The 16,924-nt window shown below is 54.3% G+C and overlaps 1 protein-coding gene across 1 annotated transcript in view, besides 1 other annotated feature; it reads left to right on the top strand.

Annotated features, from left to right (window-relative positions):
* Nucleotides 1-15,766, top strand: part of NOS2 (nitric oxide synthase 2) — a 43,764-nt gene extending 27,998 nt beyond the window's left edge. Inside the window, exons 14-27 of the mRNA NM_000625.4 lie at nt 80-224; nt 1,515-1,619; nt 2,948-2,997; nt 3,381-3,555; nt 4,695-4,827; nt 5,944-6,022; nt 6,816-6,997; nt 8,388-8,551; nt 9,527-9,734; nt 11,301-11,388; nt 11,788-11,909; nt 12,354-12,502; nt 13,457-13,651; nt 15,179-15,766. Of these exons, the coding sequence (NP_000616.3) occupies nt 80-224; nt 1,515-1,619; nt 2,948-2,997; nt 3,381-3,555; nt 4,695-4,827; nt 5,944-6,022; nt 6,816-6,997; nt 8,388-8,551; nt 9,527-9,734; nt 11,301-11,388; nt 11,788-11,909; nt 12,354-12,502; nt 13,457-13,651; nt 15,179-15,286 (1,903 nt within the window). The 3' untranslated portion in view covers nt 15,287-15,766. The remainder of the gene's footprint in view (nt 1-79; nt 225-1,514; nt 1,620-2,947; nt 2,998-3,380; nt 3,556-4,694; nt 4,828-5,943; nt 6,023-6,815; nt 6,998-8,387; nt 8,552-9,526; nt 9,735-11,300; nt 11,389-11,787; nt 11,910-12,353; nt 12,503-13,456; nt 13,652-15,178) is intronic.
* Nucleotides 16,116-16,616: an enhancer, noted in NCBI's record as "H3K4me1 hESC enhancer chr17:26082942-26083442 (GRCh37/hg19 assembly coordinates)". NCBI's record gives its function as "activates a minimal SCP1, AML or CMV promoter by ChIP-STARR-seq in primed H9 embryonic stem cells {active_cell/tissue: H9 hESC(primed)}" and the evidence as "EXISTENCE:reporter gene assay evidence [ECO:0000049][PMID:30033119]".

Below are 16,924 nucleotides of genomic sequence, written 5' to 3'. Positions count from 1 at the left end.
TCCCATTCCCCTGGTCCCCCATTTTCTTCTGGAAGGCTGACTCAGCACACAGCGCCTGCCTGTCTGTCTGTCCCCACAGAGCTGTGCTCTTTGCCTGTATGCTGATGCGCAAGACAATGGCGTCCCGAGTCAGAGTCACCATCCTCTTTGCGACAGAGACAGGAAAATCAGAGGCGCTGGCCTGGGACCTGGGGGCCTTATTCAGCTGTGCCTTCAACCCCAAGGTACTGGCTCAGTGGGATGGCTGTTGTTTTTTCTGCTTGTGTGCAGGGGAGTCTAGGAAAAGTTAAAACGGTTTCCCCACTCCTGGATGTCTCAGAGTCTTGGATGTGGTAATGTGCATCATTAATCTGGAAGAGAAGGAAAGACTTGTGTGCAGGGATTCCAAAACTTACACAGTAGATGAGTTTTTCATGGTGTTCTGGAGAACACAGTTTGAGAAACACTTTCACAATGAATCCAGGCCTCAACATACATCAGCTGCTCTGGCTGAACTTTATTCAGGCTCACTGAACACCTGCTCTGCAGGATGCAGTGCTGCATGTGAAAGGGGGAAGAGATGAGTAAGCTTCAGATAAACAAAAAAAGGCCGCAGAGGGTCTGTCTAAGCTCTATCCCCTGCCTTCAGCACTGATGGATAAAATCCAACTCTTAGGGAATGGTGGCCACGTGCTGGACCAGCCCCGGGCTCTGAGGATCTGACAGTGGGTGGCGCAGAGCCAGGCCTTGCCCTTGGGGAGCTCTCCAGCATACACCCCACCCTCCCCTCCCAGCGCCCTGCAAAGCAGGCGTCAATGCCATTGTTAATGCACAGAGGAGGAACCTGACTGTTAGACAGGTTGATGGGTTTTCCAGGGTCGCACGGCTTCTGGGAGATGGATGTGACTCTGAGGACAGGGCACAGGCCAGTGTAATGCCACGATGGGATGAGCTGTGGTCTGTGCCACGTAGAGGCTTAGGCCAAGGGGGCACTGACTGATGACCAGGTCGGCCAGGTTGCTGAAAACACCTCTTGGGTCCAAGCCTCACCTGCTGGCTCCCAGGAGTCTGGAACTGCCAGGAGAGTGGTGGCAGGTCCCCCATCCTCCGCTGGGTGGGCCTGGATAGAACAGCAAGATGAGGGCACATTTCCCCGGCCATTCCCTCCAGGCACAGCTGTGACCTGCTCATTCCAATTTTGTGGAAATATTTCCACACACACAAAATTGCAAATAGTAGTGGACATGGTGAGAGGCATTTAGACATGGGAAAGGCAGTATTTTTGGGACAGATCTTCCAGGGCTTGCCAATGTGTTAACCATAGGGCTTAAGCGGGGAAGGAGAACAGAGGATGATGTGTTCAAATTGGTTCATTCACGTCCTCTGTGCCACGCCTGTGCCGGGCCCTGGGAGAGACAGATGAGCACAGGAGCCGCAGCCTGGGGGCAGTGTGGGAGGAAGCCCAGGGTGTCTGCGCAGGGTAGGGAGGGCCCTACTGGGAGCCGAGGGCTGATGTCCACTTGGGTGCCATCCAGGTTGTCTGCATGGATAAGTACAGGCTGAGCTGCCTGGAGGAGGAACGGCTGCTGTTGGTGGTGACCAGTACGTTTGGCAATGGAGACTGCCCTGGCAATGGAGAGGTGGGTGGCTTGAGGTCTGGCTGGTCTAGGGGGTGGTAGGGCACGGGAGGACCCAGGAAAGGGTCTGGGGGATGCGGCAGGTCCTACGGAGGACATTTGGGAGTCAGTGCTCAGGCCACTCCGGGTCACTCAGGTCATTTGCCGGCCTCCATTGTAATTATTGCCATATGGGAGTGCCACCTTTCCTATGACATATTTAATATATTTCTGTGAATGGCCTACCTGTTTGTATTTACAAATTCATATTTAAAGGAAACTTGTATCACTCTCACAAATGGAAAGCAGCAAAACATAAATTCAATGAAAACAAAATGAAGTTAATGAATTTTAGCTAGATACTATTCCCTGGCCAAGGCCTGCTCTTTGTTTGTTTTGTTTGTTTTTTGGTTTTTGGTGTTTGTTTGTTTATTTATTTATTTATTTACTTAGGTGGAGTTTTGCTTTTGTTGCCCAGGGTAGAGTGCAATGGTGCGATCTCAGCTCACTGCAAACTCTGCCTCCCTGGTTCAAGTGATTCTTCTGCCTCAGCCTCCCGAGTAGCTGCGATTACAGGCACGCGCCACCATGCCTGGCCAATTTTGTATTCTTTTTTTTAAGTAGAGATGGGGTTTCTCCATGTTGGTCAGGCTGGTCTTGAACTCCCAACCTCAGGTGATCCGCCCGCCTCAGCCTCCCAAAGTGCTGGGATTATAGGCGTGAGCCACCGTGCTCAGCTATCTTTGTTTTTAAAAAAGACTAATAGGCAATGAGAGAGGTATTAAAGGTCTATTAGCACCAATATGAGACTGTCTCTCCAGTGCTCCGAAGAATGAAAATGTAATTGAAGGGGAATAACTAAAAAATAAATTATGAAAAGGGAGTAAATACTCACCATGGGATTTGACGCTAGTTCTGCTGGGTCACATACCTCCTGGAATCATCTTGGCTTCCTGGAAAGCCAGCCTTATTTCAGAGACTGTAGGACCAATTGTTGTTGCTTCTACCGGGTTCCAAACAGAATCACGGCGCATTCGGAGCCCCTCTGGAGAAGGCATGCTACCAGGCAGGCCCCTCTGCCAGGGCTGGATGGGTGGGGGCCCAGCTGTTCCAGGTCCCCCATTAAGAGGCAGGGCCTACACAAGTTGCTACAGTTTAGTTGGAGTGAGAGACAAGCTAAACTTGTCAGCTGACAACCAGGTCCTTGGCCAGGTAGCCCCATATGTAAACCAACTTCCGTGGTGGGCTGTGAGCCTTCTCCTGCAAGCTGTGGCCAGGTTTCCAGAAGAAAGGAAAAAACAGTGTTTTTATTCATCCTGGCTTGAGAACTCTGTCATTCCCTCTCTTTCTAGAAACTGAAGAAATCGCTCTTCATGCTGAAAGAGCTCAACAACAAATTCAGGTAAAGCTTTTTCCGTTGTCCTACTCCTAGCCCTGCCCTGTGGACCCAAAGTCTGGGTTCAGGGGATGGAACTGGGTGTGCACAGGGGGTCTTCTCAGAACCGTGCAGGCACAGAGACCTGGGTCTAAGGTCTGTACTCAGAATGTGTCGAGGGTCAAACCACAGAAACCAAGTCCCTCTCACAGGTCTGCAGGCCAAGCATGGGGTGGTCATGGGAGTTGGTGACAAGGCTGGGGGATGGAGAGGACCAGAAGGGGGTCCAGCTCCATTCTCCAGCTGGAGGGGGAGAGTCTGGGGCTGGCTCTCCAGGCTGTTGGTGCTGGGTGCTGGGTGCCAGGTGCTGCTTGCATGGGACATGTGTCTCTGTGTGTGTCCTCGGGCAGGTACGCTGTGTTTGGCCTCGGCTCCAGCATGTACCCTCGGTTCTGCGCCTTTGCTCATGACATTGATCAGAAGCTGTCCCACCTGGGGGCCTCTCAGCTCACCCCGATGGGAGAAGGGGATGAGCTCAGTGGGCAGGAGGACGCCTTCCGCAGCTGGGCCGTGCAAACCTTCAAGGTCAGTTCCCAGCCAGAGCTGCCCCACAGCAGGGACATGACAGGGTGCATTCATGCCTAGGACATCTGTGCTGGGCGTCCCAGGTGGCATGACCTCTGCCTGTGGTCCTGTAGATGTGGTCCCAGGCATGGGCCAGGGCCACAAACCTGAGGGCTTAGGTCACTGCTGCTCTCCCTCAGCCCCCTAGAAGAGCTCCACCTTGTGCACACAACTCTGGGGGAGAAGGTGGCACAGATACCCCCCTGCCCTTAGGGAGCTTCTAGTTTAAGGTCTTTCCTCCAGTGACTACCTAGGTCACCTCTTAACTACTGTGTCTGTTTCAGTCTCACAGCCATAGAGAGCCTGGGGACAGGCACCACACAATGGCGGATCCACTTTGGATCCACTCAGTATCTCCATAGCTCTTTATTGCTGTGATTGCCCCAGTCATTTAGGGAACTCGTCACTCATGCAGAGCGTCACTCAGCGGTGGTGCTTAGGAGCATCAGCTTGCATCGGGGCAGGCTTGGTTCCAAAGCCCAGGCCTCCTCCATGTGGCTCCACACCAGGAACATAAGAGCAATCAGACCTCTTCCAGTGTGGGCATGAGGATACAACAAGATCATGTCAATATTGGCATTCATAGTGGTCGGGCACAGTGGAGCATGCCTGCAATCCAAGCACTTTAGGAGGCTGAGGTGGGCAGATTGCTTGAGCCCAGGAGCTTGAAACTAGCCTGAGTAACATGTGAAACCTGCCTCTACCGAAAATACAGAAAATTGGCTGGGCTTGGTTGTGCGTACCTGTAGTCTCAGCTACAGGTACGGGACTGAGGCGGGAGGATTGCTTGAGCCCAGGTGGTTGGGGCTTCAGTGAGCTATGATGGCACCACTGTACTCCAGCCTGGGCGACTGAGTGAGACCCTGTCTCAAAACAAAAACAAAGCAATATTTATAATAGTAGCAATAGCTACTATGTGCCAAGCCCAGACACCTCTTTGAGTCCTTGCTGTCACCCTATCAGGTAAGTGTGCTTCGAAGTTACACGAAACACACGGCTCAGTGTTTGGCCCATGGTAAGGGCCTAAAAAGTGGTAGCCCCAGTGGTGGGGATGCTGCTGCTGCTGACCATTAACCGCAGTCTGCTCCACCTTCTTCCAGGCAGCCTGTGAGACGTTTGATGTCCGAGGCAAACAGCACATTCAGATCCCCAAGCTCTACACCTCCAATGTGACCTGGGACCCGCACCACTACAGGCTCGTGCAGGACTCACAGCCTTTGGACCTCAGCAAAGGTACCTGCTTCTCTGCAGCACATGGGGCTTGTTTGTGTTGGGGTCTGAGCCCTAAGCCCATGGTCAAGGAGACCCCCAGGTCTTTCTGAACAGAGACAGCTGGCCTCGGGGCCTCCCTCTCACTGCATGCAAGAGCCTGTTAGGGCATAATACTCAAGGTGCTGAGGGAGGCTGTTTCAGGAGGGAGCCCCAGGAGGGTGGTGGAGACAGAAGGGATCAGCATCCGCCAAGGGCCTACTGTGTGTCAGACACTGTGCGGGGCTCCTGGCCCACATGGGCTAAGTGAGCCTGGACACTCCTCCTGGGAGAAAGGCACAGATGGAGAAATTGCAGTTCAAGGAGGTGAAGCAAGCTGCTAGCCTGTGGCCATGTTGGGGTCTGAGCCCCAGCCTTCCAGCTGCGAAGGCAGCCAAGTGTCGTAGAGAAGGTGTCACAGAGGCGATTCCAGGCTGTAGTGGTGAACTCTCCACTCTGCACCCCCAGGTGCTGTGCCCTGTGCCCTGTCTAAGATAGTCCTGAAGGTTTCTGCATATTTAAGATATCCCCAATGTCAACAATGCTCTCCTGTGGATCCCAAGCCATGGAGATGTCCCGGGACTTTCCATTTTTAGGTTCCTAAATTGAATTTCCCAACACCTAGAAGCAACACTTAGAAGCTGCCCTGTATCAGATCAAGGAGCTTTTTTTTTTTTTTTTTTTTTTTTGAGACGGAGTCTCGGTCTGTCGTCCAGGCTGGAGTGCAGTGGCGCGATTCCCGCTTACTGCAACCTCCGTCTCCTGGCTTCAAGTGATTCTCGTGTAGCTGGGACTATTGGCACTACCACCATGCCTGGTTTCAGTATGTTGGCCAGTCTGGTCTCAAACTCTTGACCTCCAGTAATCCACCCACCGCGGCCTCCAAAAGTGCTGGGATTACAGGCATGAGCCACCATGCCCGGCCTGGACCAAGGATCTTTATTTGTGGAATAAAAGGAAGAAAAAGAAAAACCCAACGGCCACCTCAGCAGGATGCCCCAAGGGTGGTGTTCAGATGTCACTGACTCAGACATCTGGGGGCTTCCCCTACCTACGCTCAAGAACCACTTTGCCATTTCACCGTCTCTGTGTCCTCCACAGCCCTCAGCAGCATGCATGCCAAGAACGTGTTCACCATGAGGCTCAAATCTCGGCAGAATCTACAAAGTCCGACATCCAGGTAAGGGAAAGTGCAGGGCTTCGTGGGTGATACTCTGTCGATTTTATTTTAACGAATGAAAGATCAGAAGAAGTCAGTCTTTGAAGGGAGAGGAGAAGAGCATATGCTGGCATTAGCAGCCACACTGTCGGTAGGACCGGCCCACCTGGTAACCTGCGGCCACCTGTGCTTTTACGTCTACTCTTGGTTAACCACGAGCCACTTTTCCAGCTTGGACTCTAAGCATCTGCTCCACTTCCTCTCCTTCCTCATTGAACTCTTTCACTAAAAGGAGAGTGCAAGAGAGACTTAAACTGTTTGATTCATTCTTAAGAACTTTCAGGAAAAGTGTTGGCAGGGAAGGAAATTTCCCAGCTCTGGGAAAGAGCCTTGTGGATTATCTGCAGGTTTCATTGATCTGTGCTGTCCTCCCCGCATGCATTAGGAAAACTGGCCTTGGTTCTAATAAGAACAGGGTTTGTCCTGGCAACAAGGAAAGGTTTCTTCTGATATCCATGTATGTCCAAGGCGGATGCTTTCTTTAGGCAGAGGCTGTAGCCAAGCCCTCGGGGGGCTCCAAGGGCTGCTGGGAAGGGGTGGGCCCCCCTCCTCCCCAGAGGGAAGCTCCTGGGGCCCTCTTAAGCACCCCTGCCTGTGGGGATGCCTCATCCCAAGCTCAGGGTGGTGGCCTAGCTTGTGGAACCAGCCAGGAAAATGAAAGGAGGGCACATTTCCTGGGGAATCTCGCCTGCCCATCAAGGAGCCCTGGAGGAAATCCTGCAATGTCACCTGAGGCTTCATTTTCCTTCCCCAGCCGTGCCACCATCCTGGTGGAACTCTCCTGTGAGGATGGCCAAGGCCTGAACTACCTGCCGGGGGAGCACCTTGGGGTTTGCCCAGGCAACCAGCCGGCCCTGGTCCAAGGTATCCTGGAGCGAGTGGTGGATGGCCCCACACCCCACCAGACAGTGCGCCTGGAGGCCCTGGATGAGAGTGGTGAGCCCCGGGCTAGAAAGCCAGTGCTGCCTGGCACCCTCTGGCCGCCCCACCTGGCTGAGGGGCTGAGCCTGGGCCTGCCGGTGACAGCCATCCCTGTCCTTCCTGCTGAGAGGGCGGGCCACCAAAGCTTATGTGAAAGCAGCTGTGGAAACAGTCCCAGCCCATAAGGCATGGCCCCCTGGCCTTAGTTTCCCTAATGATAACATCCCCCTCAATGCAGTGGCCAAAGTCAGAAAGTGGGATGAGCTGGGTGTGGTGGCTCACGCCTGTAATCTCAGCACTTTGGGAGGCCGTGGTGGGTGGATCACTTGAGGTCAGGAGTCTGAGACAATCCTGGCCAACATGGCAAAACCCCGTCTCTACTAAAAATACAAAAATAATTAGACAGGAATGGTGGTACATGCCTGTTATCCCAATCCCAGCCACTCGGGAGGCTGAGGCACAAGAATCGCTTGAAGCCAGGAGGTGGAGGTTGCAGTGATATGAGATCTCGCCACTACACTCCAGCCTGGGTGACAGAGACTCCATCTCAAAAAAATAAAAAAGAAAGTGGGATCAGAGAAACAGAGCCTGGCAGTGACCCCCACTGTCCAGGAGAAAGTGAGAGAACCTGAGACGTGGGGACGACAAGACAGTTGCCCTTGTGACTGTAGGGTGAAGGATGTGGTTCATCAGGACTCTGTTCCAGAGGAGAGAATGTCAGGCTCTTATTTTTACCCAGTGTTTACAAAGCATCTGTGTACCAGGCACGGCACCAACTATTATGGCACAATTTCATTCAGTGCTCATGCCAACCCAGCAAGATAGGTTGTGCTATCAGATCTGTTTCACAGGGAGGGAAGCCAAGGCCCAGAGGCTTCAGTCACCTCAGAAGTGGGGAGCCAGGGTTTGAACCCGTGTCTTCTGGCACCAGGGTCTGTGCTGTGACTGCCCTGCATGCTGCTCCCTGGGACTTCCCTTTGGGCTCATCTGCTCACCCAGCACATCTTGGTACAGCACCCAGGGGACTGCAGTCATGGGCTTCTCTCTAAGTGAACAACTGGCCTGTGAGGTATCCATTAGTCTTTGGTGGATTTAGTCATTGTGAGTCTGTAGATCACCAGTGAGTGTCTTGCTAAAGTTCAGGTCTGGGCCAGAGAAGGACGTGGTTAGTTTATCAGGACCACGCCAACTTACTGCCCCTTTGGGGGCTGGTGATCAGCCTTCCCTGGCAGTCCTTTCTCCATGCGCCACCTTCTTCCTGCCTTTTGCTCTTAGAGCCAGGTCTTTAGAGCCTCCTTTCCCCTGCAGCTGGAGAATAGAGGGTGTCTGCCTGGGGGCCTCGCTACCTGCTGAGAATCCTGAATGGGGCCTCTTTTCCATCCTGACACCTTCCTTCCCCATCCAGGCAGCTACTGGGTCAGTGACAAGAGGCTGCCCCCCTGCTCACTCAGCCAGGCCCTCACCTACTTCCTGGACATCACCACACCCCCAACCCAGCTGCTGCTCCAAAAGCTGGCCCAGGTGGCCACAGAAGAGCCTGAGAGACAGAGGCTGGAGGCCCTGTGCCAGGTGAAGATCAGGGCTGGTGGGCAGTGGGGGTATGTGGGGGGTCCCAGCATGTGGGGAGCCAGAGTCCAGAGCTGGTTTTAACTTTCAAGAGGGATCCACACCAGGTTCCCAAAGTGAGACTTGTCAAAGGCTGGTGGGAAGCCAGGCATCGTCCGCTGGCCCATGTCTAGGACACAGTTGTGTTGAGTGAACTGAATTTTTCCAAGTGTCTGCAGGATGCAACCAGAGTGCACTGCCTTGAACATTAGCTAGAAAGGGGAGCCGCCCTTATCCGTCTTTGCTTTCCCCAAAACTGGAATAAACTTGTCACTTAAGATGTATTGGGGGATGGATGATGTGGATGAATGGATAAATGGGCATAATGGGCAGAGTGACAGATGGAGAGCTGAATTAATAAGTTAATGAGAGAATGCGTTAACTCACCTGCAACTGTCTGGTTCCAAGTCTTTGCAAAAGGCACTGGTTGTCATTATTATCATCATCATTATAGCTAATTATCTCAATTTAAGCTACCTCCACCGCCATTATTTTGTGGCTGCAATGTACTAACTTGGCACATGCTTTCTCATTTAATTCCCATAACATCCCCACAAGACAGGCAATACTGTCCTTGTTTCACAAAGGGTAATTGGGACAAGATTCCACAGCTAGTGAGGACACCCAGCCAAGATTTGAACCCAGGTCTGATTGGTTCCAAAGCCTTGCCCCAAATAAATTACAATAAAGATTTGACCCCTGCCCATGAGTTGCCGACAGTGGAGGTAACACAAGTTAGATAAATGTACTGGACTGAGTTCCTCCAGGACAGGCACTTATTTTGTCTCAAGTTTGGTCGTCTCAGCACCATGGACAGTGCCTGGCACATGGACTTGTTTGTTGAGTGAGTGAATGAATGAATGAATACTGGGTTGTGACAGTCTTTTCCCCAAAGCGGGACAGGCGCCCTGAGTCACTGACATCACCCTTGGCTTTTAGCCCTCAGAGTACAGCAAGTGGAAGTTCACCAACAGCCCCACATTCCTGGAGGTGCTAGAGGAGTTCCCGTCCCTGCGGGTGTCTGCTGGCTTCCTGCTTTCCCAGCTCCCCATTCTGAAGCCCAGGTTCTACTCCATCAGCTCCTCCCGGGATCACACGCCCACAGAGATCCACCTGACTGTGGCCGTGGTCACCTACCACACCCGAGGTGAGCCAGGGGCAGAGGCTCTGGAACAGCCCCGCTCCGCCCATTATTGGACATCTGTTCATCAACTCAGATTCAGCTCCCTCATCAGTTCAAGGAGGGAGGGAACACCCACAGCCCAGAGTTGTTAACAGTATTAGGAGGTGTGTGGGAGAGATCTCTAGGAACCAGGCACTAAACCAAGCCTTCTGTATGTATATGATCAGTTACATTGTGGGGTAGGCACTGTGTGCATTTTACAGGTGGCACAGAAAGTCACACTGTTAGTAAGTGGAGAGCTGAGATTCAGACCTGGATAGTCTAACTGCTGAGTCCAAGTCCTCCACCACTCCACTGTCCCACTACTCTTGGGACAATTTAATGAGATCAGATGTGAAGAGCACTCAACCCTTGGTAGGAGGCCAGTGGTTCTTAGTCTTCCCAATCATGCAGCCTGAACGCAGGGGAGATTCTGCATTGATTATTCATTCACTCACTCAGCTATTCAGTGGGTGCCTGGCACTGGGGTGGGTATGGAAATACAACAGAGATCAGCCCTGCCCTCAGGGAGCATCTAGAGGCGGCAGTGGAGAGATAGGCATAGAAATAATTAGATGATTTTCATTGTGCTGAAGCCAAGAAGGAAAGGTCAGGGTCACTGAGGGAAGCAGAGCAGGGGGTGACGCTGCCATAGAGCGGGAGGCCAACATCTCGTCCAGGTGGTCTCGGCTCCACCACTGGCCGCTGCCCCCTGCCCTGCCCTCTGTAACTGAGCATTGCCTGGGTTGGCAAAGCTGGGAGCTGCCCACACTTCCGAGCCCTCTGTCCTCAAGAAGCAAAAACACAGTTTCTAAAACCTTGGCAGAGACTCTATTTGCCCTGCTAGAGAACAGCCACCCAGACCAGGAGAGGAGAGGCAGACGTGTCCTGTGAGATCAAAGTTTAATCCCGAGGAAAACCAGGGGGACCTCTGCAGTTGGTTGGAGGCCTTCCTCAAGTGCTGGGCCATTGTAAAGGGAACACAACCCAGAGAGACCTCCTGGGTTTCTACAAGCCCAGGAGGGCCCACTGAGGAGGAAAGCAAGGTGCCAGAGCAGGCTGAAATGCGCGGAACTCATCCACCACCCAGGGTTGCTACCAGCAAGGGCCACGCTCATGAGCACGCACAGCAGTAGCCACCCTGAGGGGCCACTTCATGCTGCTGTCAGTGGAGCTCAGTGGTGAGCTGGGAGTGTTCCCGGAGAAAGTCTTTGGAAGGAGCACTGGAGTAGGAGTCAGGGAAGCTGAGCTGTCCACCTGATTCCACCACGACCTGAGTGACCTTTTTCAAGTCACTTTTCCTCTCCCCGTCTCAGTTTCTGCTTGGGCAGAAGGAGCAACTTGCAGCCTCTCTAAGTCCCTTTCAACGTTCCTCAGCTCCGCGCTTACAGAGGGTGGATCTCAGAACCAGGAGGACAAACAGCTGCTCATTGAGTCCTGAGAGTGCCTGAGTGGGGGCGTCCAAGGAGGGCCGTGGTGTGGGCGGAGCAGCTGGTACAGTTTGCGCATGGGCAGTGGGGGGACGTTGGTCACTTTGTGGTATCGTTGCAGATGGCCAGGGTCCCCTGCACCACGGCGTCTGCAGCACATGGCTCAACAGCCTGAAGCCCCAAGACCCAGTGCCCTGCTTTGTGCGGAAGTAAGCACCCCTTCCACTCTGTCCCCTGTGGGGCCGCCGACCCCTGGGAGTTCCGGGAGGAAAGGGAGGGATCTGGGGTTTAGGAGACGCTCGGAGCCCCTTGGCCCATAAAGAAGGCACTGGGGTCACACTGGTGTGGCTGCCTGTAGCAGGGACAGCGATGACAGGTGGGTCTCAAGAGTCCAGTGAGCTTGGCCCTTTTACAGAAGGACCTGGGGGAGGTGCTGGTGCCTGGACAGAAGTGAAGCAGCCTGCAGGACGTGGGAAATCAAATAGGAGCTTCTTGTCCTCTCCACCCCCTCACGACCGCCTCCCACAGGCCCAGCTCCCCAGCCATCCTGTGTGTGCGTGGGCCTGGGGTGTCTGAGGACTGGCCCCCTCTTCTCCTGTCCTCTTCAGTGCCAGCGGCTTCCACCTCCCCGAGGATCCCTCCCATCCTTGCATCCTCATCGGGCCTGGCACAGGCATCGCGCCCTTCCGCAGTTTCTGGCAGCAACGGCTCCATGACTCCCAGCACAAGGGTAAGGCTGGAGGCTTCCCAGGTGGGAGGGGCACCAGGGGGCCAGCGCCTGCCTAGGAGCAGAACTGCAGCCCCACAAACGGTTCCTGACCTCTCTCGAGGGAAGGCCTCCCAAGTTTGCTTCCCTGTGCGGGCCTCTGCGGGTTAGAATGGCTGCCTTTCCGTCTCCCGCATAGTAGCCAGGGCTCCCTCTCCTGGGAGTGGAGGTAACAGGAAAGTCCCTGCTTTTGATCTCCGATTGGCTGAGGGAATTCTGCATCCGCACTTTCAGTTCTGTGACTATGGATGAGTGATCTGAATGCGCTGGGCCTCAGTTTCCTCATCTGTAAAGTGGGGATAATGCTATTAAATAGCTAGTGGGAGTGAAGTGAGAATTCCAGTTGGGCTTGGAGCCCTGGCGCCCTCTGGTGGCCAACATGGTAACAACAGCCCGGGACTCCTGCAGGAGTGCGGGGAGGCCGCATGACCTTGGTGTTTGGGTGCCGCCGCCCAGATGAGGACCACATCTACCAGGAGGAGATGCTGGAGATGGCCCAGAAGGGGGTGCTGCATGCGGTGCACACAGCCTATTCCCGCCTGCCTGGCAAGCCCAAGGTAAATGCAGCCTCAAAGCAGGTGAAGCATTACACACACAAGCTCCACTGTGAGCCCTGGGTCCCCACAGGCCCCTCGCCTCCCCGAGCCTTCACCTCCTGAGCTCGAAAATGCTGGTAATTCACAACCATCAGAGTGATGCTGTGAAGAGCATTACACCCTCTCATACAGCAGAAGCGACAGACCTGGAGAGGTTCAGGACTAACCTAGGTCACACGCGGGTTAACCCCAGAGCCCAGCCTGCTGAAGGTCCCCAGCAGGCCCCCTGGGACACGCGACTGCCCGGGGAGAGGTGGTCCAGGCTGGCTACGCTCAAGCCTTGCAAGGCTGGAGGGCGGCCGATGCTTCCACCACGGCCATCAGAGGGGCTCTTCTGTCCCCAGGGCCGCGTTACCCCCTGAGCCTGGGGTGTCAGAATAGACTCTCGGCCTTCACACATTTGTCCCATCAGGGCACCTCTTGGGCCCAGTGCTCTGTGCCCAGTGCTGGGGCCACTGGGCATCCTGTGTGGAGCAGGAGCAGAGAGTCCCTGACTGACTCCTGGACCTTGTATCTGGGGAGCCCGGGATCCATACCCTGCAGAGACCTAATGGGTAGACTGCATTGAGAGGCTCCCTTTTCTGGGGTGTAGGCAGAGCCCTGGGCAGGGGGACTGCCTTCATTGATGCCTTTTTGAAGCATGGCAAATTCAGAGACAGTCTGGGATCCCCACTGGATGGTCAGCCCCTCGAGGGCAGGACTGTGTCCAGCATTTATCTCTCTAATCCCAGCCGAGCCCCAGGGGCATCCATGCACCTCATCCTGAGCCTGGCCCCTTGCAAGGTCCTGGCTGGAAGGGGACTCACTCCTCACCCCTTAGTGCCCCTCTCCCCGCCTCCTTGAGGCCAGCAGGCCTGCCTGCAAGCCTTGTCCTGAGCAGCTGAGGACTGAACCCACTGTTTCCTCTGGTTTCAGGTCTATGTTCAGGACATCCTGCGGCAGCAGCTGGCCAGCGAGGTGCTCCGTGTGCTCCACAAGGAGCCAGGCCACCTCTATGTTTGCGGGGATGTGCGCATGGCCCGGGACGTGGCCCACACCCTGAAGCAGCTGGTGGCTGCCAAGCTGAAATTGAATGAGGAGCAGGTCGAGGACTATTTCTTTCAGCTCAAGGTATAGTAGTGGGTGTGTGGGCTGAAGGTGCCGGCCAAGGGCACAGGCCGTTGGAGCCAGGACCAGGGGTGGCAGGTAGACCCAGGGGAATCAGGCCCAGAAAGGTTCTGGACCCCAAGAGAATCTTAGCAGTGGCTGAGATCTGAGCTGGGTGGGCTGTCAGATGGCCTTACTGCACATCCTGGACCAGTTGGCAGCTTTGAGAAGTCGGGTGAATGTGTTCCATTTTTCCATCTGTAGAATGGGGGCAGGAGAGTCTCCCTGGCCTCTCCCCAAACCCCCCTTTCAGAAAGTATCTGTGTGGCCAAAGCAAGGCTGTGAACACAGGGGAGAGCAAGGCTGCCCCCCGTCAGCCTCGTGTGAACCTCACACTTCTTATTTACACCCAGGCTGGTGTCTGCTCACCCTCATCCCCCCAGCAGGAAGGGCTTGCATTTTATTGATGAAGATAATAGTGATATTTATCAAGGGCTTACACTGGGCATACTGCTTGCCAAGGATTCTCATGTGACATTTCATTCAGTCCTGCCGAGGACTTTATGAGGGAGGCACCCCCTTTTACAGAGGGAAGGGGGCCTACGGGGACCACAGCAGTAAATGTGAGAGCCTAGAGTTCAGTCTGCCTCTCTCTGGTTCCAAAGCCTGTGATTGTCACTTCCATACTCTCCCTAAGACACATTCATACGTTCAACTGAACATTTATTGAGCACCTACTATGTGCTAGGGATAGAGCAGTAAATGAATCAGGCAAAAATTCTTTACATTCTACTGGGGCTGACAAACCCAGACAAGAAAGAGGTGTAGTGCTTCAGAGAAAAACAGCAGGAAACAGCCCAGGGAACGCTGGGGAGTGTAATTTTAAATAGGGTGGCCAGGGAAGGCAGAGCTGGAAGGTGGCATCTGAGAATAAACCTGAGATGGTGAGGAGGAGCCCTGTGGATACTGAAGGAAACACTCTGGGCTGTTCTGGAGGGGCAGCAGGTACAAAGGCCCCGGGGGTGGGAGTTAAGCTGGCGTGTTTGAAGAACAGTGAGGAGATAACAGGCATTTCCCCAAATGTGTTCAGTGGGTCGGTAGACAGTTGGCATCAAAAAGATTCCAAGGTCGAATAGCCTGGGACATGCTTAGTTAAGGCAAGGCAAACACGTTGCTTTACTACAAGACTTCTGGGAGCCTTCAGTATGCTGCTGTTCATCAGGACCCTTCAAGGCTGGAAGGAAAGAAAGGACGTAGCATTTCCCAAACATATTTATCTCAGAGCTCACACTTCCTGGAGTATCTTGGGTGGGGGATGAACGCTGGGCAGGAAATGGGTATGCTAAGTAAAGCTTTGGAGATGGTTAGAGGGCCCGCACCAGAGCAGGTGCTGAGCAGGGTTAGGGTCTAAACCAGATTCAAGCACAATCTAAGTATAACAGTTGGGAAGACAGATGGCTCATGAAGGTCCATGTGATAGGGAAGCTGGGCAACCCCAGGGGCTCATCCCAGCCTGGACTTGACACGTTGCTCTCTGTTTTTACCTAAAAGAGCCAGAAGCGCTATCACGAAGATATCTTTGGTGCTGTATTTCCTTACGAGGCGAAGAAGGACAGGGTGGCGGTGCAGCCCAGCAGCCTGGAGATGTCAGCGCTCTGAGGGCCTACAGGAGGGGTTAAAGCTGCCGGCACAGAACTTAAGGATGGAGCCAGCTCTGCATTATCTGAGGTCACAGGGCCTGGGGAGATGGAGGAAAGTGATATCCCCCAGCCTCAAGTCTTATTTCCTCAACGTTGCTCCCCATCAAGCCCTTTACTTGACCTCCTAACAAGTAGCACCCTGGATTGATCGGAGCCTCCTCTCTCAAACTGGGGCCTCCCTGGTCCCTTGGAGACAAAATCTTAAATGCCAGGCCTGGCAAGTGGGTGAAAGATGGAACTTGCTGCTGAGTGCACCACTTCAAGTGACCACCAGGAGGTGCTATCGCACCACTGTGTATTTAACTGCCTTGTGTACAGTTATTTATGCCTCTGTATTTAAAAAACTAACACCCAGTCTGTTCCCCATGGCCACTTGGGTCTTCCCTGTATGATTCCTTGATGGAGATATTTACATGAATTGCATTTTACTTTAATCACACTGTATGCGTGTGTGGGTGTTTTGTAGGGAAAGCTCTTCTCAGAGTGGGGAGCTGGTGGGTGTCACAGCCTGGACAGATCCCCGACAGAGGGACACCCCAGCCAGTCCATGGCTCCTCTGAAATGGCTGCCAGGTGTGCCAGCAGCAGATGGAGCTTCGTGCTGGTCCAAAGACCTGTGGTAGGGCAGGGGGCGCAGGCCTGCCTCCCACACAAAGTATCTGAAACGGGGTCTGGTGAGGGTGGGATTGTCGCATAAGGCCAGTGTTTCGAGGAAGGCCTTGAGCTTCTTCTTGGACACTGTCTTAGAAAGCGTTTTGCTCTGGGGCCACCAGTCTCATGCGAGACTGTGCCTTGGCCAGTACGGATGTGGTCCCTGGGAAGGCAGCGTGTCGAGGCGAGTGTGGGCCACAGCATCCTCGCCTGAGGGACTGGGGACCCTCTTGGGTTTGGAGCAGGCCAAGGAAGCCTTCTTAGGAGAGTGGGCCCCGTTTCCTTCTCCTGGTCAGAACCAAAAAAGGAGCTCAGCGGCGGCCACTGGGGTCCTGGCAACACACGGCTCCCAGCTTAGGTTTGGCCTCTGCCTCCTGGGTGCCCTGGCCGACTTCACCCCCTTGCCCGCCACCTTCCCCTTCTAGCAGTAGCATCTCAGGGGCAGGAGAAGGGGCAGTGCCAACCTCAGGCTCCAGGAAAGCTCCATGCCCTGCGCGACAGCCGTGCATCTCAGCAACAAGGCCAGGAGTCCGCTCCCGGACCAGGGCTTTCCAGCTTTAATGTGCGCACCTCGTCTGGGGTCCTGTGAAAACAGAGACTCTGACCTCGCAGGTCGGGTGGGGCGCGGGATGCTGCGTTTCCAACAAACTCCCGGATGCAGCTGGTGCCACTGCTCTGAGGACTACTATGGGGCCTGAGGAACTGGATTCTTACTGGGCTGAGCAGGATGTGTTGGCATCACCTGGATGCAGAGTCGGGCTTCCTGGCAGTGGCCCAGTGGCTGGCAGAACCCCACACATGAACACTGAGCCACTTTTCCTATGCAAGCCCTAACCCCTAATGCCGGAGAGACCCACAATGGAACACACACCCAGACGGTGCTTCGGGTTGGCTTCTCCTGACCCCCCTCCCCAAGCCACCTCCTCCCACTGGGACGCCAGGTCTGA

The sequence above is a fragment of the Homo sapiens genome, chromosome 17 (genome assembly GCF_000001405.40).
Source record: "Homo sapiens chromosome 17, GRCh38.p14 Primary Assembly".
Lineage (NCBI taxonomy): Eukaryota > Metazoa > Chordata > Mammalia > Primates > Hominidae > Homo > Homo sapiens.
This window is presented reverse-complemented; position numbering and strand designations above follow the sequence as displayed.